The sequence below is a fragment of the Homo sapiens genome, chromosome 13 (genome assembly GCF_000001405.40).
Source record: "Homo sapiens chromosome 13, GRCh38.p14 Primary Assembly".
NCBI lineage: Eukaryota > Metazoa > Chordata > Mammalia > Primates > Hominidae > Homo > Homo sapiens.
Window position 1 is genome coordinate 45,414,410 of NC_000013.11, and position 25,695 is coordinate 45,440,104.

A 25,695-nucleotide genomic window follows, 5' to 3' on the forward strand; every position below is an offset into this window, starting at 1 on the left:
GAGTTCAAGACCACCTGGCCAACATGGCAAAACCCAGTCTCTGCTAAAAATACAAAACTCAGCCAGGCATGGTGGCGGGTGCCTGTAATTCCAGCTACTCAGGAGGCGGAGGCAGAAGAATCGCTTGAAACCGGGAGGCGGAAGTTGCAGTGAGCCAAGATCTTGACACTGCATTCCAGCCTGGGCAACAAAAGCGAAACTTTGTCTCAAACACACACACACACATACACACACACACACACACACACACACACACACACACGAAAACGGTTCTAGTTAGGACTGGAATAAGTAAGTAGATGTCCACTAAGCTGTACTGGCCACAGCAAGCTGTGACAGGGCTATAAGTATCTTAGGCTGAAATCTCTGTTCAGTAAACTAACCCATTTCTTTGTTTTGGAGCTCTTTCTGAAGGGAAGTCTCGTGAAACACTTCCTTGAATTCCAAACACAGTTGTTTGGAAAAATCCCAACTGGATCTACAGAAGTCCCAAGGCTGACAAGCCAAGACAGTTAGAGAGATTAATGTGTCCTTAGCAGTCAATAGTGTCTGGGCAGCATCTCGGGGAAGGAATTACAACTTTGCAGAAATTCCAGTGTCGGGCAGTGGCTGTAGATCACTTCTGATTTGACAGTCCTCTTACAGCCATGTTCTCTAAGCCATGCTAAAACCCAGTAATTCCTTACTTCTCCTTGCTGCGTTATGAACATAATACTAACACTAGCAGTCATCCCTGAATACCTGCTGTTAGGCATTGCTATACATTTTCTTCACAGTCCTATGAAAGAGGTATCATTATCCACATCTCACAACTAAGCAAACAGCCTCAGAGAAGAAAAGTAACTTTCCCTGGTCAAAGCTACCAAATATTCAAACTAAGGTTTCTCTGAAGGATCACATGACCCTTCCTCTAGATAGTACTTTGCAGACACTATCTTCCAAGGGCTGTTAAAAAAATATTGGTGGGGGGCAGGGCAGGGAATTCTATACATTCAGAATAAATATAGAATTTTCCAGCAGAGGAAATAAAAAATTTTATTTTTAAAAATGTTAGCTGTTGGCCGGGTGTGGTGGCTCAAGCCTGTAATCCCAACACTTTGGAAGGTGGAGGAGGGTGGATCACTTGAGGTCAGGAGTTCGAGACCAGCCAGGCCAACATGGTGAAACCCGGTCTCTACTAAAAATACAAAAATTAGCTGGGCATGGTGGCAGATGCCTGTAATCCCAGTTACTCGGGACGCTGAGGCAGGAGAATAGCTTTGAACCCGGGAGGCAGAGGTTGCAGTGAGCCAAGATGGCGCCACTGCACTGTGGCCTGGGTGACAGAGCGAGACTCCATCACAAAAAAAAAAAAAAGAAAGAAAGCTGTTGGTGCCTGGCTGAATAATTTTTTTTTTTTTTTTTTTTTGAGACTGAGTCTCGCTCTTTCACCCAGGCTGGAGTGCGGTGGTGCTATCTCAGCTCACTGCAACCTCTGCCTCCCAGGTTCAAGCAATTCTCCTGCCTCATCCTCCTGAGTAACTGGGATTACAGGCACGTGCCACCACGTCCAGCTAATTTTTGTATTTTTGGTAGAGATGGGGTTTCACCATGTTGGTTAGGCTGGTCTCGAACTCCTGACCTTGTGATCTGCCTGCCTCCGACTCCCAAAGTGCTGGGATTATAGGCATGAACCACGGCGCCCGGTCCAAATTTTTTAAAGTTAAAAACAAAACAGGCCGGGCACGGTGGCTCATGCCTGTAATCCTAGCACTTTGGGAGGCCGAGGCGGGTGGATCACCTGACGTCAGGAGTTCGAGACCAGCCTGGCCAACACGGTGAAATCCTGTCTCTATTAAAAATACAAAAATTAGCCAGGCATAGTGGTGGGCGCCTGTAATTCTAGCTATTCGGGAGGCTGAGGCAAGAGAACTGCCTGAACCTGGGAAGCGGAGGTTGCAGTAAGCTGAGACCGCACCACTGCACCCCGGCCTGGGCAACAAAAGCAAAACTCCATCTCAAATAAATAAATAAATATATAAATAAATACAAAAAAAAGTGAAAAATACAAAGTAAAAAAACAACAACAAAAATGTTAGCTGGGCTAGTCACACATACCTGTAATCCCAGCTACTTGGGAGGCTGAGGCTGGAGAATAGCTTGAGGCCAGGGGTTCAAGACCAGCCTGGGCAACAGAATGAGACGACCACCTATACTAAAAAAATCCAAAACATTATCTAGGTATGGTGGTACGCGACTCTAGTCCCAGCTACTCCGCAGGCTGAGGTGGAAGGGGCACATAAGCCCAGGACTTCAAGGCTGCAGTGAGCTAAGACCATGACACTGCACTCTAGCAGCCTGGGTGACAGAGCAAGACCCTGTCCCAAATAATAAATAAAGGTTAAAAACAAGTTTTCTGAATGAAATTGTCTATACAAATTAAGAATTTCAAAGGATTCTCCCTACACTTAGGATATATGCTAAGTTACACATCCTGTCTACATTTTCTCTTACATGGTTGCTTAGTATTTATTTTCACCCACCTGACCTCATGTGTACAGCTGTAAAGGGAGGTAATTAAATATAATACTAGCTGTTCGTACTTTTGAACGCTTTCCAAGTTTCTCTTATTTATTTATTTAGAGGCGGAGTTTTGTTCTTATTGCCCAGGCTGGAGTACAATAGCATGATCTCGGCTCACTGCAACCTCCGTCTCCTGGATTCAAGCGATTCTCCTGTCTCAACCTCCCGAGTAGCTAGAATTAGACATCCGTCACCACGCCCGGCTAATTTTGTATTTTTAGTAGAGACGGAGTTTCTCCATGTTGGCCAGGCTGGTCTCGAACTCCTGACCTCAGGTGATCCGCCCGCCTCGGCCTCCCAAAGTGCTGGGATTACAGGCCTGAGCCACCGCTCCCAGCCGTTTCTCTTATTTAATTCTTGGTAAGTTCTTTCAGTTTTACTTCCTGTTCCCTTTTTAGTCTTAAGTCTTAAAACTGTAATTGCACAGCCTTTAATGTGCTCTCATACATTTATTGTTCCTTGCTGGACCGACTGCCCTTTCAATAATGCCCTTTCATGAACTTTTCCTATTTCCTATTCTTTTTAAAGGTGCAGAAGGAAAACTAAGCTCATCACAGACTTACAAAAAGCCGGGTTTAAAAGAAATCTTCGAAATTATCATCTCGTTTCACGTTAATTAACTGAGCCCGCGGTCACAAAGCTTCGCAACGGCAAAGCCAAAAGCAAGATTCATGCCTTTCAACTTTCTCACTACCCAAGTAGCACCGCAAGCCGAATCCGCAGGGCAGTGCCAACATTGTTTGCTACTCTTGCGCAGAACAAAAATGCTAATCACTGCAACTGCTTTACATGAAAGTGCACCTAGAAAGACTTCAAAACCCAGAGGTACATTAACTTTCCAGGCAAGTTCCTCCCAGCCTGTGTGCCACGAGCGATTCCGAATGTGGTGTGCCCTCTCCCACAGTGCGAAGCTCGCGGGCGCTCAGGCTGCCGTTTGAATGAACGCACGAGTGGGAGGGACGCACAAGCAGGGTTGCAAGCCCGGGGCTCGTTAGCAGACGCGGAGATGCCAGGACGGGCTTCGCACTCGGATCTGAATGACCCTGGAACAGGAATCACCCCACGCCAACAGCGATGGGGGCCCCGCGGCACCGGCCCGACCCAAGGAGGCAGCAGCCCGAGAAGCAGAGCCCTGTCCCCAGTCCCCGGAACCTCGCGCCCCGCCGAGCCCGGCCCGGCCTGCGAAGTGGAGAGCACAGGCAGCCCCGAGCACGCCCGGTTGCAAAGGAGGCTCCTCGGAAATCGCAGCCCAACCTTACCCCAGGCCCGGGTTCCAGGAGCCGCAGAGAAAGCGGGGCCGGCAGGAGGAGGCACGGGCCAGGACTTACCTGGCGGCAGCGGCCCCACACCTCCTCCAACCCGGACTCAGTTGTAACAAGAACCTGAGGCCGCTGGAGAAAAGGAAAAAATGCCGTCGCGGGCGGGGCAGACCCACGAGCCTGCACGCAGCCCCGCGCCGCCCCGCCCCGTCCGCGCAAACACGCGACCTCCTCAGCTCCCATTGGTTTCTGCCAGCACTAGCCACACCCCTGACAGCCCCAGATGGGGACACGGAGGGGCGGGGCCCGTCCCAAGTGCCCCTCAGGATCTTCCCCTGCCGCTGCCTGAGGGAGCTGCCCGGGACTCGGTGACACCTGATGTGGCCTCCGATATCGACTGGGAGGTGGAAGAGAAATTTGGGGAACGCATCGAGAACCGTGGAAAAGCAACCTTCGCAGGGGGCAACCTTCTCACGGTGCCCCCGTGAACCTTCACAGTTGGATGGAAGTAAACTTGCCCTTATTTTTTTATACCCCAGCTTTTAGCTTGAAAATATACAGATTAGCCGGGCATAGCGGCGGGCGCTATAATCCCAGCTACTTGGGTGGCTGAGGCAGAAGAATCGCTTGAACCTGGGAGGCGGAGATTGCAGTGAGCAGAGAGCGTACCACTGCACTCCAGCCTGGGCAACAAAGCGAGACTTCGTCTCAAAAAAAAAAAAAAAAAAAAAAAAAAAAAAAAAAAAAAAAAAAAGCCAGACCTGGTGGCGGGTGCCTGTAATCCCAGCCACTCGGGAGGCTGAAACAGGAGAATCGCTTGAACCCGGGAGGCGGAGGTTGCAGTGAGCCAAGATCGCGCCACTGCACTCCAGCCTGGGCGACAAAGTGATACTCCCTCTTAAAAAAAAAAAAAAAAAAAAAGAAAGAAAATGTCCAAACAGAACAAAAAATTAAAAGAACCGTACTATGAGTAGAAATCTTTACATATATATCTAATATACATATATGTAAATATTTATTTATATATTAATATATAACATTTTTAACGGTATGGCAGTGTTTGTGTTCAAGCATACCCAGGTATATTTTTGTTTTGTTTTGTTTTTAGACAGAGCCTCACTCTTGTTGCCCAGGCTGGAGTGCAATGGCACCATCTCAGCTCACTGCAACCTCCGCCTCCCAGGTTCAAGTGATTCTGCTGCCTCAGCCTCCCGAGTAGCTGGGATTACAGGTGCCCATCACCACGTCCGGCTAATTGTTGTATTTTTAGTAGAGATGGGGTTTCTCCATATTGGTGAGGCTGGTCTCGAACTCCCGACCTCAGGTGATCCGCCTGCCTCGGCCTCCCAAAGTGCTGCCATTACAGGTGTGAGCCACGGCACCCGGCTGTGAACTCATGATTTAAACATATAACTGGGGCCGGGCTCAGTGGCTTATGCCTGTAATCCCAGCATTTTGGGAGGCCGAGACGGGCAGATCACCTGAGGTCGGGAGTTCGAGACCAGCCTGACCAATATGGAGAAAACCCATCTCTACTAAAAGTACAAAAATTAGCCGGACGTGGTGATGGACACCTGTAATCCCAGCTACTCGGGAGGCTGAGGCAGGAAAATCAGTTGAAGCTGGGAGGTGGAGGTTGAGGTGAGCCGAGATCACGCCGCTGCACTCTAGCTGCTGCACTCTAGCTGCTGCACTCTAGCCTGGGTGACAGCGCGAGAGAAAGAAAAGGAAAGGAAAGGGAGGGGAGGCGAAGGGAAGGGGAAGGGGAAGAAAGGAAAGGGGAAAGGAGAAAGAGGGAGGAAGGAAGGGAGGAAGGAAAATGCATATGTATAAAACTTGCATCTGTTGATGCAAAGTGCTACTCCAGGAATCTTTACATCCCTTGGTTCATTCAAGACAAAGAAATGTTATTTCCATTTTACAGATGACAGAACAGAGGTTTCATGAGATAACTGCCCTGTTACAGAACCAGGGCCCAGGGCCATCTCTCTCTCATTTCCTTCTCTTGTGTCTCCAGCTCAGGCCCCAGGTTGAGCTTAAACAATCTCTTTTCTGTGCTCCAACTTGGACTCTAGGTGAGTACCTGGATTTTTGGCCACACAATGTTTTGAAATCAATAAAATTTGGACCCCTTTGAAGTATCCCCTGAATTCTGGCCATAAAAACAAATACAATCCCCAGCCTGTGGGGGAAAGTCATTGGAATGCTTGCCTTTCTAGGGCAGGGAAATAAGTACATGACCCTTTCTACCTCTCTCTCACCTCACCAAGTCCTTTCCAGACTCATGACTGTGTGGTACTACATACAAAGCACTGGATTCCTCCCTTTCCTGTAGAGCTTTTGGACACCCAAACTCTACCATTACCCTAAGCCCCACCAGCCCATGCTAATACTCAGATAATACTTAGAAATACACAGGAATGGCCAGCCTTCAAGTATGAAGATCCCTTTGTGGGTTTTTTTGTGCTTTTGTTTTGTTTTGTTTTTCAAGACAGGGTCTCGCTCTGTCACCCAGGCTGGAGTGCAGTGGCCCAGTCACAGCTCACTGCAGCCTCGAACTCCTATACTCAAGCAATCCTCCTGCCTCGGCCTCCCAAAGTGCTGGGAGTACAGGCATGAGCCACCATGCCTGGCCAAAGATCTTTTTGAAAGAAAACTGAATTTTTTAAAAATTTTGAGTCCCTATAAAATAGATGGTAGTATTTTCAGTGTCCATTATGAAAATGCATATGGAATTTGTGGGGCCCCTGCAGTAACCTTGGGTTCCTCCAAGGGTCTTGGCCCAGGGATTGGAAACTATTTCTCTAGGGAATAGTAACTTGGTTGCAGCAGCATAACCAGTTTAGAAACAAGAATAACAAAAAAAGGCCAGGCGTGGTGGCTCACGTCTATAATCCCAATACTTTGGGAGGCCGAAGCAGGTGGATCACCTGAGGTCAGGAGTACAAGACTAGCCTGGCCAACATGGCGAAACTCCATCTCCACTAAAAACACAAAAATTAGCCGGGCATGGTGCTGCCTGCCTATAGTTCCAGCTGCTTGGGAGGCTAAGGCAGGAGAATTGCTGGAACCTGGGAAGCAGAGGTTGCAGTGAGTTGAGATCGTGCTACTGCACTCCAGCCTGGGCAACAGAGCAAGACTCCATCTCCAAAAAAAAAAAAAAAAAAAAAGAATTAAAAAAAAGTGGTAAGTCCAGAAATATATCTACGAACTATTCAGTGCCAGTCCCTGTTGGAAGCAACTTCTTTTTCATCTATTCTTTGCCTTCAACTTTCCCCCTATTTGGCTCTTTGTGCATGTTTTTTATCTGACTACAGTTAACACACCCAGGTAGCAATATGGAAATGAAGACCTAGGTTCTACTCAATCCTGGCCACAGCTTTATTAGCTCTCTGGCCTTGAGTTAATTAAAGTCCTCAGTTGCAAAATGGAAACAATACCCTCCCTACAGAATGTTAAATGAGGCGACGTGTGCAAAAACATACTTTGTAAAATGTAAGTGCTGTAGAAATATCTTTGAATTCATCTGGCCATGGCACTCACCAGCTTAAAATTCTTCATTGGCTCCCCAGTGTCCTCAAGATTAAGGCCCCTGACCACGTGGTCCTTAGAGCCCTCCAGCCATAAGAATCCAGTTCCCTATCCTCCTCACCCATGCACTTGCCCCTCAATCCTACATTCTAAAGTCTGGCCATATAGGCACTTCTCAAGTAGCTGGGCTTTTATTGCCATTTAGGCCTTTTATTAGCAAACTGTTAGAACAGTAACATCCACACAGCCAAAAGCCCTCACTACACTCCCTTAGGTGGATGATGCCAATCTCTATGAGGAGCTGGGCAGCAGGAACCATTTTTTACCCACATCATGGTTTTCATCATCTTGGCAATTGTGTGTGCACTATATAGTGGCAATAAATAACAAATGCTTTGGAATCAACTACAATTTGATAAATGTTTGTTTAATTACATTAAACTACAGGAATGATGCAGATAATATGGACCTGCGTCTTGTCAAGAATGAGTCTCACAGGTTTTTCTGGATGGTTGGTGCTTGCAGAATGAAAGGGCTTAGTCAGACCTTTTAGGGGTAACATTTGGTGGTTGGCGAAAGGAGGAGGTTGTATCTGACTGAGACATCTGGTCACCTCCTCTCCTTGGCAAAATGCAGAAGCAATGAGCCATTGCTACTCCTAAGAAGAACACCTGGATAGGCCAGTGTTCCTAGCTGGTGTACTGGGAATGAGCCCATAAAATTCTTTATCATTATATTTTATTGCAGCGGTTCTCAATCTGAATCAGATTTTGCCCTCCAGGAGAAATTCACAATGTCTGGAGTTTTTCGGTTGCCTCAACTAGATGCTTGCTACTGGCAAGTTGGTAGGGACCTAGGTTGCTGCTAAACGTTCAACAATGCCCAGGAAGGTGGCAATAGTACTGAAGTTTTAGAAATCCTGTTTTATAGGAATGTTGCTTTGGGCATTTGTTTTTCTTGGTTACAGGTGCTTTGTTGAGAATGCATCTTTTGTGTAAGTCACTGAATGGCTGTATAAAATACTCACAGCTCCCCAAACACAGGGATACTCCCTTTTACCTCTGCAACTTGGCACACACTGCATTGCACCTGCTGAGTTATTTCTCTTGCTAAGCCCTTCTCATCCATCAGGCCTCAGTTTGGACACCATGTCCTCCAGGAAGTCTCTCCTAATCACTAAAAACTGGGTGAAATGGGTGCCTGCCCTCTTTGTGCATCCATGCTGCTATGAGAACAGTTACCGCACTTCAAAAGAATGAGCAGTTTTCTCGACAGTCTTCCCATGAAACAGTAAGCTCGTTGGGGTAGGGACCCAGTCTTGCTCACTACTGTATTCTTAGTGCTCAGCATAGCACCTGGCACTGTGGGTCCCCAATAAATATAAGCACATTTGGAGAGTCTCTATAATTTGAGAGTTGGCAGGAAGACAGAGGTCAGGATGGAGGCTTTGTCAAATTGTCTGTCCCTTCCCATTGATATTACCACAGTTGTAAGTCCTGCTAAAAAGTACTTCTGCTTCCTTAGATGTGTTCCACTAGACACAATAGTAAGAACAACAGTGCAGGGAAACTCATGTGAAGTCTGGTGAGCTGTACTTAGAAATCTGGTTTATTTAATTTTACGTTACTCTCTGCATTTACTTATTTTGGTATCTTTTTAATTTTTATGCCCAAGGGTTAGCAAATTATGGTCCATGGACCAATTTATCCAGTAGCCTGTCTCGGTATAGCCCCAGAATTAAGAATAGTTTATATATATATACAAATATATATACAAATATATATAAATACATAAAAAAAATATATAAATATATATAAAAATATATATAAATATATATATATATAAATATATATAAAATATATATATATAAATATATATAAAATACATATTTATATAAATATATATAAAATACATATTTATATAAATATATATAAATATATAAATATATAAACATATATAAATATATATAAATATATATAAATATATAAATATATATAAATATATAAAAATATATAAATATATAAATATATAAATATATATTTATATATATAAAAATATAAATATATATTTATATATATAAATATGTAAATATATATATAAATATATATAAAATATATAAAAATATATATATAAATATATATAAGAATATATAAAAATATATATAAACATATATAAATATATAAAAAAATATATGAATATATATAAACATATAACAATATATATTTATATAAATATATATAAAAATATATATAAATCTGTAAAAATATATATTTATATAAATATATATAAATCTATAAAAATATATATATTTATATAAATATATATAAATCTATAAATATATAAAAATATATATAAATATATATAAATATATAAATATATAAATATAAGTATATATATAGAAATATATCAATATATATAAATATTTATGAATATAAATATACATATATGTGTAAATATATAAATATATGTAAATATATATAAATATATAAATATATGTAAATATATATAAATATATAAATATATATATAAATATATAAATATATAAAAATATATATAAATATATAAAAATATATATAAATATATGAATATATAGATACATGAAAATATATATAAATATATAGATATATAAATATATAAATATATAAAAATATATATAAATATATGAATATATATATAAATATATAAAAATATATAAACATATAAAAATATATAAATATATGTATATAAATATATAAATATATAAAAATATATATAAATATATAAAAATATATATAAATATATAAATATATAAATATATATAAATGTATAAATATATAAATATATATAAATATATATAAATATATATAAATATATATAAATATATATAAATATGTATATAAACATAAATATATATAAATATATAGAAATATATATAGTTATATATAGATATATATAAAGATATATAAATACATATATAAATATATATAAATATGTATAAATATTATATCTATTTATATAAATATATAAATATATATATATAAATATATAAAAGAATATAAATATATAAAAAAATATAAATATATAAAAATATATATATAAAAATATATATAAATATATATATAAAAATATATATAAATATATAAATATATATTTAAATATATATAAATATATATAAATATATATAAATATATAAATATTTAAATAAATATATAAATAAATATATAAATATATATAAGTATATAAAAATATATATAAATATATAAATATATATAAATATACATATATAAATATATAAGTATATATAAATATATAAATATATAAGTATATATACATATATATAAATATATAAATATATTTATAAATATATAAATATATTTATAAATATATAAGTATATAAATATATATAAATATATTGATAAATATATATAAGTATATAAATATATATACATATATAAATATATGTAAGTATATATATACGTATGTATATAAATATTTATACATATATAAATATATATACGTATATATACGTATACATATAAATATATGTACGTATATATACGTATATATAAATATATATGTATATGTAACTATATATAAGTATATATAACTATATGTAAGTATATGTATAAAAATATATAAGTATATATGAAAATATATATGTATATATATAAATATATAAGTATATATAAATATATGTATATATAAATATATAAGTGTATATATAAATATATATAAGCATATATAAATATATATAAGTATATAGAAATATATATAAGCATATATATAAATATGTATAAGTATATATATATAAGTATATATATAAATATATATAAGTATATATATAAATATATATATACATATATATATACATATATAAATATATATATAAGTATATATAAATATATATATAAGTATATATAAATATATATATAAGTATATATAAATATATATACACACATATATATTTTTTGGGACTGAGTCTCGCTGTATCCCCCAGGCTGGAGGGCAGTGGTGGGAACTCGGCTCACTGCCGTCTCCACCTCCTGAATTCAAGCAATTCTTGTGCCTCAGCCTCCAGAGTAGCTGGGATTACAGGTGCCCGCCAGCATGCCCAGGTAATTTTTGTATTTTTAGTGGAGACAGGGTTTCATCATGTTGGCCAGGCTGGTCTTGAACTCCTGACCTCGAGTGATCCACCTGCCTCAGCCTCCCAAAGTGCTGGGATTACAGGCATGAGCCACTTCGCCTGGTCAGTTTATATGTATTATATATATACATATAAAATATATAAAGTATATATTTTTATATATACATTTTAAATATATATATACATTTAAATATATTTTTAAATGTATATATTTTTTTGAGTTGGAGTCTTACTCTGTCACCAGTCTGGAGTGCAGTGGCGCCATCTCGGCTCACTGCAACCTCCGCCTCCCAGGTTCAAGCAATTCTCCTGCCTCAGCCTCCTGAGTGGCTGGGACTACAGGCGTGCGCCACCACGCCCAGCTAATTTTTGTGTTTTTAGTAGAGACGGGGTTTCACCATGTTGGCTAGGATGGTCTCAATCTCTTGACCTCGTGATCCACCCGCCCTGGCCTTCCAAAGTGCTGGGATTACAGGCATGAGCCACCGCCCCCGGCCCAGTTTTTATATTTTTTAAGTGGCTACATTTTAAATCGTTATGTAAGTATCTACATAATCTCAATTTTTCCTCCCGGGCCCTAAAGAGTAAAATCTTCACAATGTAGTTCTTTACAAAAAATGTTTGCTGATCCCTACGTGAACCTTTAGCAAAATTTGCATTTAAATATTGCAGTCTGGTCTCAGCTGTGCCTTATCGTTTCCTGAGCCTGTTGGGGTTCATTTGGTAAAAGGGGAAATGGCACAGCCTATAACAGCCATTTGTAGCAGAAGCAACTGTCATGAGACCTTCAGGAAGACCTCCTGACAGCCTTAGCGGACACTCTTGTAACAAGATTCTCTTAATACAATCAGTACAATGTATACACTTTATCAAATTCTCTTACACCTTCAATTTAAAGTCACAAGTATAAAATCAATTGCACATTTTAAATTGAAATTGCAAGGTAATCTGTGAGGTTCCCTACGAGGATAATTTCTTTCTTTACTATTAAACTTCGCATGAATAGCAGACACACACAGATTGTCTTACACTTAATGGTTAGTACTAAAAATATTAGTACTATGGGTTTGATTTAGCTCGTCGTTTCTATATTTAACTCTAAACCTTCCAGAGTTACATGATCATATAACAACAGATTTACCAGCTCAGATGAGCTTGGTAATTGGATGATGAAAAAAAATCAGGACATTAATGAGATCATTTATCTTGAAGAGATCTGAGACTGGGACCCAGGACTAGGGAGCTATACTAGGCTGGGTCCCAAAACTGATATCCCAAAACACGGTGCTTTGACATGCTGAACTGAAGAAGAGGCCACATCTCTCTGACTTTCCTCCCATCTTCCTGTCTCTCAATCCTCTGTCTCTCCCGAAGCATAGGATAAAGTTGTTCTCTGAAGGTCCTTTGTCTGCCTAAAGTCTGGATCCACCAAAAAAGAAAACAATTACCTCTGGTCCTTTCCTTAAGTTTTCATTAACTGAACTCATTGCAAGAAGAAAGACTGAACTTGGTCCATACACCTGGATAGACTTTTGTCACAAACCACTGTTTGCTCATTGGGCCCAACAGAGTTTGTCCCAGGCCATTGTATATTTCAATTCCATTGACTTCCCCTGAAAATCATTTACTACCTTCCTAAATCATCCACGTTTCCCCATCTCCCTTTCACTCAAGAAGAGGATATATAATCATCTGTACCCTACTGCATGGTGAGGAAATCACTCTGTGATTTTCCCCCATGCACATTAATAAATTTGCCTGGCATTTCTCCTATTAATCTGCCGTTTGTGAATTTATTTTCAGCGTGGCTTCAGACAGCAAAAGGGAAGTTTTCCCTTGGCCCCCTACAATTTTTCTTTTCTTTTCTTTTCTTTTTGAGACAGATCTCATTCTGTCGCCCAGGCGGAGTGCAGTGGTGCCATCTCGGCTCACTGCAACCTCCGCCTCACAGGTTCAAGCGATTCTCCTGCCTCAGCCTCCTGAGGAGCTGCAACTACAGGCATGCGTCACCACTCCGGATAATTTTGTATTTTTAGTAGAAACGGGGGTTTCACCATGTTGGCCAGGCTGGTCTTGAACTCCTGACCTCAAGTGATCCACCCGCCTCGGCCTCCCAAAGTGCTGGGATTACAGGCATGAGCCACCATGCCGGCCCCCTACAATTATTATATGTCCCATTTTTATAGAGAAGTTGTGTCTGATCCATCAGCAGGGACTTTGAGGAGGGTCTGTTGTAATTGAGTTTTGCTACCTTCATCCCTGGGCATTTTTTCTGCCATTTATACCCTTCTCCAATTTGTTCATGTTCTTTCTTTCTTTCTTTTTTTATTTTTATTTTTTTTTGAGACAGAGTCTCACTCTGTCGCCCAGGAGTGCAGTGGTGCAATCTCGGCTCACTGCAACCTCTGCCTCCCAGGTTCAAGTGATTCTCCTGCCTCAGCCTCCTGAGCAGCTGGGACTACAGGCGCATGCCACCACACCCGGCTAATTTTTGTATTTTTAGTAGAGACGGGGTTTCACCATACTGGCCAGGCTGATCTCGATCTCTTGACCTCGTGATCTGCCCACCTCGGCCTCCCAAAGTGCTGGGATTACAGGCATGAGCCACCAAGCCCAGCCTTCTTTTTAACTTTTTTTTTTTTTTTTTTTTTTTGAGACGGAGTCCAGCTCTGTCACCCAGGCTGGAGTGCAGTGGCGTGATCTCTGCTTACTGCAACTTCTGCCTCCCAGGTTCAAGCGATTCTCCTGCCTCAGCCTCCTGAGTAGCTGGGATTACAGGTACGCACCACCATGCCTGACTAATGTTTGTATTTTTAGTAGAGACAGGGTTTCACCATGTTGGTCAGGCTGGTCTTGAACTCCTGACCTCATGATCTGCCCACCTCAGCCTCCCAAAGTGCAGGGATTACAGGTGTGAGCCACTGCACCTGGCCTCTTTTTAACTTTTAAAGCCTAATTTGGGTGGAGAGAGAGAGACAAAAAAAGAGAAACAAATCACAGCTAAAGGATTAAGAATAATGATAACTTAAAACTTCTCAATAGCAATGCTGGAAACTAGAATATGATGGAGCAATGACTTAAATTTGAGGGGAAATTATTACCAAACTATAATATCCACCTAACCAAACCAGCAATGGGAAGAATTGAAAAGTTACATATGTGCAAGCTCTTTTTTTTTTTTTTTTTTTTTTTTTTTTTTGAGATGGAGTCTTGCTCTGTAACCCTGTCTGGAGTGCAATGGCGCAGTCTCAGTTCACTGCAACCTCCACCTCCTGGGTTCCAGCGATTCTCAGGCCTCAGCCTCCCTAGGAGCTGCAACTACAGGCATGTGTCACCACACCTGGCTAATTTTTGTATTTTTAGTAGAGACGGGGTTTCACCATGTTGGCCAGGCTGGTCTCGAACTCCTGACCTCAGGTTATCTGCCTGCTTCAGCCTCCCAAAGTGCTAGGATTACAGGCATGAGCCACCACACCCGACAGGTGCAAGCTCTTAAAGAATTGACCTCTTTCATGTATGTGTCCCCTAGAAAGCTAATGGAGGATATTCTTCCCCAGAACTAAGGAAGAAACTGAAAAATGGGGTTCAGGAAATAAGCGACCAGCAAAGGAGGATGGGGAAAGGAATTCTCAAGATGACACTGAAAAGAATTCTCATGACAGCTGGGCACAGTGGCTCATGGCTGTAATCCCAGCACTTGGGAGGCTGAGGCAGGAGGATTGCATTTAAGCTCATGAGTTCAAAACCAGTCTGGGCAACATGGAGAGACCCTGTCTCTACAAAAAAAAATTTTTTTAATTAGCTGGGCATGGTGGGAAGTGCCTATAGTCCCAGCTACTCAGGAGGCTGAGGCAGGAAGATCACTTGAGCCCAGGAAGTTGAGGCTACAGTGAGCTGTGATTGCCCCACTGCACTCCAGCCTAGGCAACAGAGCAAGACCTTGTCTCAGAAAAAAAAAAACAAAAACAAAAAAACAGAAAGAAATCTCAGGACAACAGCAACCAGGCCAGATTGGAGCAGGAGTACAAAGAGATCCTGGAAATATATTGCCAAGAAAAAAAAATGAAACTGATACATCACCTGATGTTGGTGAAAATATTGATACTTTATACTTCTAATGGAGAATTTTGAAGTGAATTAGAAATAGGTACCTAGAAAATGAAGCTAAATTTTTTTTTAATGAAGGCAACTGTCAATTCCAGGAAAAAACAGAGAGTTATATTTTTAAAAACAAATATAATCATAGTATACTATACGGCTCAGTTATCAATAACATTTACAAAGTCAGAGTAATTAATACCATATATTGATTTAACAAAATATGTGATGTAATTATAATGAAATGATAGTGAGAAACTGTGTTTGCGTGAATATGTGCAAGTGTGTGTGAGGATGAGTGATAGGAGTAAAGAGTAAGTCTTTACTTAAAGAGGATGTCTCTATAGAGACATGATATCTCTATAGAGATGGCAAAAGAAGAAAAGAAATAACAAATGAAAACACAGAAGAAGCAACTGAAAGAGTTTAAAGTAGTTGCCTCTGGGCATCGGGATTGAGTAATGGAGAAGGATGAAGCAGATAACTGTTCTTTTCATTGCAAAAGCCCTGTAGAACAATTTTATTTTTAAGAATATGGGGCCTGGCATGGTGGCTCATGCCTGTAATCCCAGCACTCTAAGAGGCCGAGGCAGGTGGATCACTTGAGCTCAGGAGTTTGAAACCAGCCTGGGCAACATGGTGGAACTCCATCTGTACCAAAAAAAATACAAAAATTAGCCAGACATGGTGGTGTGCCTGTAGTCCCAGCCACTTGGGAGGCTGAGGTGGGAGCATCACTTGAGCCCAGGAGGTAGAGGTTGCAGTGAGCCCAGATCATGCCACTGCACTTCAGTCTGGGTAACACAGTGAGACTATGAATGTGTATAACTTTGATTTTTTAAAATTTAGTTTTATTAATGAAAGAAATATGCCTTAATGTTTCTCCTTGGCCACTGTCACTGGCTAGCCCTTCTCATTCTCTCTATGAATCTCTAAATATTAGGATGCCTCAGGGCTCTATCATGAGTCCTTTCCCTTCTCAAAGCATATACTCTACCCAATGGTCCCACCTAGTTCTAGGGCTGTAAACACCACCCGACAATTGCACGCTTCTTTTGTTTTTGTTTTTGTTTTTGTTTGAGATGGAGTTTCGCTCTTGTTGCCCAGGCTGGAGTGCAATGGCGTGATCTTGGCTCACCGCAACCTCTGCCTCCAGGATTCAAGCGATTCTCCTGCCTCAGCCTCCCGAGTAGCTGGGATTACAAGCATGTACCACCACACCCGGCTAATTTTGTATTTTCAGTAGAGACAGGGTTTCACCATGTTGCCTAGGCTGGTCTCGAACTCCTAGCCTCAAGTGATCTGCCTGCCTTGGCTTCCCAAAGTGCTGGGATTGCACTCAAAACAAAACAAAACAAAAACACAAAGAAAAAAAAACAAAGAGTATGGTTTGATTGAATTTTTTTTTTTTTTTTGAGATGGATTTTCACTCTTGTTGCCCAGGTTGGAGTGCAATGGTGTGATCTTGGCTCACTGCAACCTCTGCTTCACAGGTTCAAGCAATTCTCCTGCCTCAGCCTCCCGAGTATCTGGGATTACAGCCACGTGCCACCATGCCTGGCTAGTTTTTTGTATTTTTATTAGAGATGGGTTTCACCATCTTGGCCAGGCTATTCTCAAACTCCTGACCTCAGGTGATCTGCCCACCTCGGCCTCCCAAAGTGCTGGGATTACAGGCGTGAGCCACCGCACCCAGCCAACGATTGCACACTTCTATCTCTAGCCCTGCTCTGTTTGCTACTCCAGACTCACATATCCAGTGGCCTATTTGACACCTTCTCTTAGATGTAACTAGGCAACTCAAACTTAGTACACCTAATAGAGCCTCCTACTTTTGTCCCCGAAGCCTGTTCCTTTTCTAGTCTTTCTCATAGTAAATGTCACCATCAGCTATTTGAGCTCAAACCAAAAACCAAGGTGTCATCTTTAATTTTTCCTTTGTTCTTATCATCAATATCCACCCCATATGTCCTGCTGTCTCTGCCTTTAAAATACATCTCAGGGCCGGGTGCAGTGGCTCATACCTGTAATCCTGGCACTTTGGAAGGCCAAGGTGGGTGGACTACTTGAGGTCAGGAGTATGACACCAGCATGGCTAACATAGTGAAACCCCGTCTCTACTAAAAATACAAAAACAAACCGGGCATGGTAGTGCGCACCTGTAATCCCAGGTACTCGGGAGGCTGAGGCAGGAGAATCATTTGACTCTGGGAGGTGAAGATTGCAGTGAGCCGAGATCATATCACTGCACTGTGGCCTGGGCAACAGAGCAAGACTCTGTTTCAAAAAAAAAAAAAAAACAGTGTTACTTATCCTCTTTATAATTCTCATATTCTCATTTTCCTTAGAAGTAAAATAAATAGACATACTTGTTTCAGATGGCTTTTTTAGCAAGAATTAAAGGAAATAAATGGAATAATTTACAGAGTGCCCTGTGCATAATAAACATTGCTATCATTATTATTACCATCATCAGGATTATCATTATTCCACACATCTCTTTCATCTTCTAAAGATCCACCACATGTAGGCAAAACCAGTATCACTAAATAGTTGGGTATAAAATTAAAACCTTTAATATTTCTCAGTAGTTTTGTCCTGAGGTTTACACTCAGTACTTTCAATTAATTTGTATTGAACAATACAATTTCAAAAATATGATATTAAAAGCAACCTAAATGGCTACTTACTAATTATTATGGCCAGGTATATCTATAGGACACTAAAAAAAAAAAACAATCAATTCAGCATGTTAAAAAAAAAAATCAAGGCCAGGTGTGGTGGTTTGCACCTGTAATCCCAGCAGGCCAAGGCAGGCAGATCGCTTGAGCTCAGGAGTTCAAGACCAGACTTGGCAAGATGGCAAAACACAGTCTCTACCAAAAAAAAAACAAAAAAAAATTAGCTGGGCATTATGGCACACGCCTGTAGTCCTCAGCTACTCAGGAGGCTGAAGTGGGAGGATCACCTGAACCCGGGAAGGTTGAGGCTGCAGTGAGCCGTATCGTGCCATTGCACCCCTGGGCAACAGAATGAGACTCTTTCTCAAAAAAAAAAAAAAAAAATTCAATCTGAACCTTAACTGGAATTGCCTGTATTATTTTTTTTAGCCCATCATTTGGCTAAATATTTCACTCTCTAACTTTCTGAGTTGCTTTCACACAGGTACTGCCAAAGCAAACTATCAGACTTAAGTTTATCACAGGCAAAGTTTAAAGGGCAAATTGTGACCTCCAAGAGATGAAATAAATGGCTCTTTTCATGAAAAAGAATTTGGGGAACTGTAAGTGATCTGGGGCACTTCATGCTGAGAGGTTCAAGTATAAAGGGTACTAAACAGGTGGCTCCCAGAGGTAATTTTAGCCAGAGTGTTCTAAAGTGTGGCTTTTCGGAGCGTCAGGGAGGACAGTGCCCCAGCCTGTCACTGCAGAAACTCCCTCGAACATTCAAGTACATTCACAGAATAACCAAGGAGAGCAAAGCCAGAACTGACACTGGTTTAGGAATTGGAAAATTGAAAGTTGTATTACCCTGTGAGGGCTGTGTTCTCAGTTCTTGGAACTTGCCCTGAGAACAGACTGTCATGCTCCATTTTTGCCTCTGATAAAGAGCATACATGAGTTTAGCACGAGGACTCTGAACATAACCATGACATTTCCATCTGGTAATAGTGGAAGAGTCAGGGAAGCTGGCCGAGGCCTGAGGCTGGTGAAAAAAGTCTGAGCTGTTCTGACGGGGCCACAGCCATTTATGTCCATGGCTTTCAAACTCGTTAAACTGTAACCCACATTAAGAAATGCATTTTACATAATAATCCAGTACACACATATACACACAAACACACTACTGAGACAAACATTTCCGGAAGGAATACTTACTGTATCTGTAATGCACTGTATTCTTTATTATTCTATTTTTTGTTCACACTGTTCATAACCAACTAAAATGAAAATCCAGTTTGAAAAAAATACTGATTATAAAATTCCAATCAGGCTGGGCGCAATGGTTCATGCCTGTAATCCCAGCACTTTGGGAGGCCGAGGCGGGCAGATCACCTGAGGTCAGGAGTTTGAGACCAGCCTGGCCAAGATGGTGAAACCCATCTCTAATAAAAATACAAAAAACTAGCCAGGCATGGTGGCACGTGGCTGTAATCCCAGATACTCGGGAGGCTGAGGCAGGAGAATTGCTTGAACCTGTGAAGCAGAGGTTGCAGTGAGCCAAGATCACACCATTGCACTCCAACCTGGGCAACAAGAGTGAAAATCCATCTCAAAAAAAAAAAAAAAATTCAATCAAACCATACTCTTTGTTTTTTTTTCTTTGTGTTTTTGTTTTGTTTTGTTTTGAGTGCAATCCCAGCACTTTGGGAAGCCAAGGCAGGCAGATCACTTGAGGCTAGGAGTTCGAGACCAGCCTAGGCAACATGGTGAAACCCTGTCTCTACTAAAATTACAAAAATTAGCTGGGTGTGGTGGTGTGTGCCTGTAATCCCAGCTACTCAGTAGGCTGAGGCAGGAAAATGGCTTGAACCTGGGAGGCGGAGGTTCCAGTGAGCCAAGATCGTGCCATTGCACTTCAGCCTGAGTTACAGAACAAGACTCTGTCTCAAAAAGCAATAAATAAATAAATAGGTGTTCAGGTTGAGCAGCAGCTGACCCTCTGACAACTCATCTTGAGGCCTTATGCTGCTGAAAAATTCCTCTCCCAATGAGTGAATCGAAGGAGAGCTTCTGTTTTTATGTCAGACACAGCCACCTGTGACCTTGACAGTGACTCGGTTTGGTCATCATTTGTTTGTTTTTGTGTAATTTTAACTGCTATCTAAATAGCCATAAAATGGTTAAACAATAAACCCTCAGTGAACACACAGGGTCTCAATGCAAATTCTGCAGCTGAGGGATGGCAGACCATGGAAGAGCAAGGAGTTTCTGAGAATTGGGAGAGTTTCCCTGAGATATTTGGTCAGGAAGATACTTTTTCCTTATGCAAAGTCAAGAAAGGTGTTTAGGTCCATAAACCTATAGCACCTGGGGCCAGTCTGGCAGGCAGCGTTGACAGAGTCTTTTCAATACAGGAGACAAGATCATCCCCAACACTCATGCACACTTGTTCAAAAATGTATCTTTTGAAACCAGGTAAAGGTGATGGTTGCACAACACTGTAAACACACTAAATGTCACCATGTTGTACACTTTAAAACCCATAAATGGGTTGGGCACAGTGGCTCACGCCTATAATTCTAACACTTTGGGCGGCCATGGTGAGCAGATCGCTTGAGCTCAGGAATTGGAGACAAGCCTGGGCAACACAGCAAAACCCCATCTCGACAAAAAATACAAAAATTAGCTGGGCATGGTGGCACGTGCCTGTAGTCCCAGCTACTCTGGACGCTGAGGTAGGAGGATCGCTTGAGCCCAGGAGGTCAATGCTGCAGTGAGCTGTGATGGCACCACTGCACTCCAGCCTGACTGACAGAAGAAGAGCCTGTCTCAACAAAACAAAACAGTTAAATGTTATGCAAATTTCACCTCTCTCTCTCTTCATATATATATATATATATATATATATATATATATATATATATATATAAATAAATACAAATACATATATATATATATTTTTTTTTTGGAGACAGTCTCACTGTGTCATTCAAGCTGGAGTGCAATGGCACGATCTCGGCTCACTGAAATCTCTGCCTCCCAGGTTCAAGTGATTCTCCTACCTCAGCCTCTAGAGTAGCTGGGTTTACAGGCATGCGCCACCACACCAGGCTAATTTTTTGTATTTTTAGTAGAGACGGGTTTTACCATGTTGGACAGTCTGGTCTCGAACTTCTGACCTCAAGCAATCTGCCAGCCTCGGCCTCCAAAAGTGCTGAGATTACAAGCATGAGCCACCACGCCCCGCCTATCAATATTTTTTATTAAAAAAAAATATATATATATACATATATATATATAAACACACCCACCAAAGCAATACAAATGTGACCTTTTTGGTTATTATTTGTTCTGGTTTTCTGGCACCTTGCATAGTCAAGACAGAAAGGTTTTAGGGATTTAATTTCAAGAAAATGAAGATAGAAAGATGAATGATTGTATAAATAGTGAAATAGCTGCAATTTTTTTTTAAATGGGCTTTGCAGATGCTGCTGCCACCAGGAGCCTTGTACTATCAGCCACAGTCAACCCCAAGGGGTTCTGCAACATTGCCATCGACGGCGAGCCCTTGGGCTGAGTCTCCTTCAAGCTGTTTGCAGACAAGTTTCCAAAGAGAGGAGAAAACTTTTGCGCTCTGAGCACCAGGGAGAAAGAATTTGGTTATAAGGGTCCCTGCTTTCACGGCATTATTCCAGGGTTTGTGTGTCAGGGTGGTGACTTCACACGCCATAATCACACAGGTGGAAGTCCATCTACGAGGAGAAATTTGATGATGACAACTTCATTCTAAAGCATACAGGTCCTGGCATCTTGTCCATGGCAAATGCTGGACCCAACACAAACGGTTCCCAGTTTTTCATCTGCGCTGCCAAGACTGAGTGGTTGGATGGCACGCATGTGGTCTTTGGCAAGGAGAAAGAAGGCCTGATTATTGTGAAGGCCGTGGAGCGCTTTGGGTCCAGGAATGGCAAGACCAGCAAGGAGATCACAATTGCCGACTGTGTTTTATCTTAACCACCAGACCATTCCTTCTATAGCTCAGGAGAGTGCCCCTCCGCACCATTTGCTCACAGTATCCTAGAATCTTTGTGCTCTCGCTCAGTTCCCTTTGGGTTCCATGTTTTCCCTGTTCCCTTCCATGCCTAGCTGGATTGCAGAGTTAAGTTTATGATTATGAAATAAAAACTAACAACCAAAAAAAAAAAAAAAGGCTAGTTTGATACAGCTTAGCAGATGGCTTAGAGCCAGGGTCCAGGACTAGCCATTGTTTCATTACCTCCTCCAAAGCCCTGGGGAACCCACCTCACCCACAGTCCCCTCTGAGTGTGATCAACAGTGGTTACACATGATCCATCACCCAGTCACACAGATAGGCCAAGGGAGACATGGATAGAGGTCTGAGGTGGCCTTGAGAACTCTGCCCTGTAGTGGCCCCTCTGCTGGATGGTGAAGGCTGTCCCACAGGAACTCTTGGGACATTTGACATAAGGCACGAGTGAAAATCCGCTGATACAGACAAAAGCAGTAGAGTCAGAGGCAAAATATCTGAGTCCCTGTCATGGTGGAGACCCAGAGCAGGAATCCATAGTTGCCCAGTTCTGAAGAGTCACTTGCCAGGTATTGTGACGGTGCCACCAGAGTTGCTATCAGAGCAATGGGGCTACAAGTACATCCCAGACTACGTCCTATATGGCCTAACCACATGGCCGGAGACAACTTCCTGTGTCCTTTATTTCCCTATGTAGCCTTATAATTGGCCTTCATTCATGGAAATAACCTGAGGATGTGCCTGCTCCTTGAAACCCTGAAAAATCTAATTTACATCTAAATGCCACAAAAGGAAGCCACTGAAAGGATTCTGGTCACATCTTCCTTCCTTAATGAAGGATTGGTGGGGACTCTCCAGAAGCCATTGGTAGAGCAGCTTATTTCTAATCCTCCTCTGTTGTGCCACCCTCCACTATGGAAGCTGAAAATGTTAAATACTTCTTTCCCGGCTGGGCGCGGTGGCTCACACCTGTAATCCCAGCACTTTGGGAGGCCGAGGCGGGAGGATCACGAGGTCAGGAGATGGAGACCATCCTGGACAACATGGTGAAACCCCATCTCTACTAAAAATACAAAAATTAGCTGGGCGTGGTGGCATGTGCCTGTAATCCCAGTTACTCGGGAGGCTGAGGCAGGAGAATCACTTGAACTAGGGAGTCAGAGGTTGCGGTGAGCCAAGATCGCACCACTGCACTCCAGCCTGGCAACAGAGTGAGACTCCATCTCAAAAACAAAACAAAACAAAACAAAACAAAACAAAACAAAAAAACTTCTTTCCCAGCCTTTCTTGCAGCTAAGCATGGCCAAGTGACAAGTTCTGTCCAACGAGACAAACATGAAACTCTTGGGCAGCATAAGGAGGAGTGTTTGAGAAAGGCTTTACTTCTGTACAAAGAGAACAGGCCCAGGAGCAGTGGTCACTGGCACTGCCCCTTCCCCATTCTCGTGCCTTGAATACAAACATGGTACGTGCAGCTGTGGCCACAGTCTCACTCTCACAAAGTGACAAGCATGTTAACAAAAGGCCCACATGCTAAGAAAGGCAGGACCGAAAGAGAGAAAGAGTCAGGGTCTTATTGACATTGTCAGGCAGCTAAACCAACTTTCTACCCCCAGGCTTCTTGTTTCTTGAGAAAAAGACCACTTTAACTTGGTATCACTGCTTATGGTTTTCCTAACTGATAACACTGCATATGTAAAACTAATCACAAAATGTGCATCATAGACTGGGTGCAGTGGCTCACACCTGTAATCCCAGCACTTTGGGAGGCCGAGGCAGGTGGATCACTTCAGGCAAGAAGTTCGAGACCAGCCTGATCATCATGGTGAAACCCCGTCTCTACTAAAAATACAAAAATTAGCCAGGCATGGTGGTGGGTGCCTGTAATCCCAGCTACTCAGCTACTCAAAAAAAAAAAAAAAAAAAAAAAACACACACAAACAAAAAAAAACACGGGAGACACCTCCTGAGATGGAAGCCACTGCACTCCAGCCTGGGCTACATAAAAAAAAAAATGTATCATAGATTTATAACTTATTTAAGTAAACTTTTAAGCAAATCACACGTTAGTGATTCCACAGCAGGATTCAGTCACTCCGACTATTTCTTGTACAACCTCAAGTGGTTTTCTTTGGTGTTTTTTTTTGTTTTTTGAGACGGAGTCTCGCTCTGTCGCCCAGGCTGGAGTGCAGTGGTGCAATCTCAGCTCACTGCAACCTCTGCCTCCCAAGTTCAAGCGATTCTCCTGCCTCAGCCTCCTGAATAGCTGGGATTACAGGCATGCGCCACCACGCCCAGCTAGTTTTTGTATTTTTAGTAGAGACAGGGTTTCGCCGTTTTGGCCAGGATGGTATCAAACTCCTGACCTCAGATTATCCACCCACCTCAGCCTCCCAAAGGGCTGGGATTACAGGCATGAGCCACCACGCCCAACCACAAGTTTTAAAACCACTTTGGGTTTTAAGGTGAGTCCTGTGAGGGCCTCTGCATATGCCAGTGTCCAGGCTCTGCAGACATGCCGGAAAGAGAATGCTTTCTGTTTGACTGTGCCTCCTCTTACACAGACACTACTCATGTGCATTGTTGTGGATGGCTGCATGCAGTAAGAGTATAAAGACCTCACTCAAATACACAATTAAGCACACTTTATATTGCTCATGTGAAAGGGAGCTACTATAGAATCAAGGCAGCCCTGCATGAAATTGTTAGGGGATGATTTGCGACAATACGGACGGACCTAAAGGACATTATGCTAGGTGAAATGAGTCAGTCACAGAAGCTTACATGAGGACTTTAAAATAATCAAACTTAGAGAAGCAGAAAATACAATGGAGGTTGCCAGAGGATGGAGGAAATGGGGAGTTTTTCAATGGGTATGAAGCTACAGTTATATAAGATGATTAAGATCTAGACATCTGCTGTATAACATAGTGCCTATTGTTAACAATATACCATGTTGTACACTTAAAAATGTGTTAAGAGGGTAGATTTCATGTTAAGTGTTCTTCCTCGCATACACACACACAAAAAGGCAGACAAAGGGGCACAACGAAACTTTTGGAGATGATGAACTTATTTGTTACCTTGATTGTGGCAATGATATCATAGGTATATGTGCATTATAACCAAAGTCATCAAATTTTATACATTTAAATATGTGCAATTTTTTGTATATCATTTATACTTCAATAAAGCTATCAAAAAATTAAAGCATTGTAAGTTAAAGAAAAAGAAAAGAAAAGGCTGGGCATGGTGACTCACACTGTAAAACTGTAATCCTAGCACCTTGGGGGTTCAAGGCGGGTGGATTGTTTGAGCCCAGGAGTCGGAGACCAGCCTGGGCAACATGGTGAAACCCTGTCTCTACAAAAAAAAAAAAAAAAACATACAAAAATTAGCTGGGCATGG

The 25,695-nt window shown here is 41.4% G+C and overlaps 1 protein-coding gene, 1 long non-coding RNA gene and 1 pseudogene across 9 annotated transcripts in view, besides 5 other annotated features; 2 read left to right on the forward strand and 1 right to left on the reverse strand.

The window, feature by feature from the left end:
- SLC25A30 (solute carrier family 25 member 30) overlaps positions 1 to 19,607 on the reverse strand; it is a 40,701-nt gene extending 21,094 nt beyond the window's left edge. For 5 of the 8 annotated variants that reach the window (NM_001286806.2, XM_005266321.3, NM_001010875.4 and 2 more), the window contains exon 1: positions 3,891 to 3,964. The gene's annotated coding sequence lies outside the window, so the exon portion shown is untranslated. Of the gene's footprint in view, positions 1 to 3,821; positions 3,965 to 19,454 lie in introns of those variants that run through there. The other 3 variants (XM_006719793.5, XM_047430241.1, XM_017020523.2) reach the window with 2 other exon arrangements.
- Positions 3,319 to 3,368: an enhancer, noted in NCBI's record as "active region_7679". NCBI's record gives its function as "activates an Ori minimal core promoter by ATAC-STARR-seq in GM12878 lymphoblastoid cells {active_cell/tissue: GM12878}" and the evidence as "EXISTENCE:reporter gene assay evidence [ECO:0000049][PMID:35858748]".
- Positions 3,599 to 3,928: a silencer, noted in NCBI's record as "silent region_5316". NCBI's record gives its function as "represses an Ori minimal core promoter by ATAC-STARR-seq in GM12878 lymphoblastoid cells {active_cell/tissue: GM12878}" and the evidence as "EXISTENCE:reporter gene assay evidence [ECO:0000049][PMID:35858748]".
- On the forward strand, positions 3,753 to 5,962 carry SLC25A30-AS1 (SLC25A30 antisense RNA 1). Its single transcript, NR_047031.1, has 2 exons — positions 3,753 to 4,329; positions 5,839 to 5,962. It is a non-coding gene; the product is annotated as an SLC25A30 antisense RNA 1 (long non-coding RNA).
- Positions 3,969 to 4,068: a silencer, noted in NCBI's record as "silent region_5317". NCBI's record gives its function as "represses an Ori minimal core promoter by ATAC-STARR-seq in GM12878 lymphoblastoid cells {active_cell/tissue: GM12878}" and the evidence as "EXISTENCE:reporter gene assay evidence [ECO:0000049][PMID:35858748]".
- Positions 4,179 to 4,368: an enhancer, noted in NCBI's record as "active region_7680". NCBI's record gives its function as "activates an Ori minimal core promoter by ATAC-STARR-seq in GM12878 lymphoblastoid cells {active_cell/tissue: GM12878}" and the evidence as "EXISTENCE:reporter gene assay evidence [ECO:0000049][PMID:35858748]".
- Positions 8,246 to 8,747: an enhancer, noted in NCBI's record as "OCT4-NANOG hESC enhancer chr13:45996790-45997291 (GRCh37/hg19 assembly coordinates)". NCBI's record gives its function as "activates a minimal SCP1, AML or CMV promoter by ChIP-STARR-seq in naive H9 embryonic stem cells {active_cell/tissue: H9 hESC(naive)}" and the evidence as "EXISTENCE:reporter gene assay evidence [ECO:0000049][PMID:30033119]".
- PPIAP25 (peptidylprolyl isomerase A pseudogene 25) lies at positions 21,718 to 22,435 on the forward strand (annotated as a pseudogene).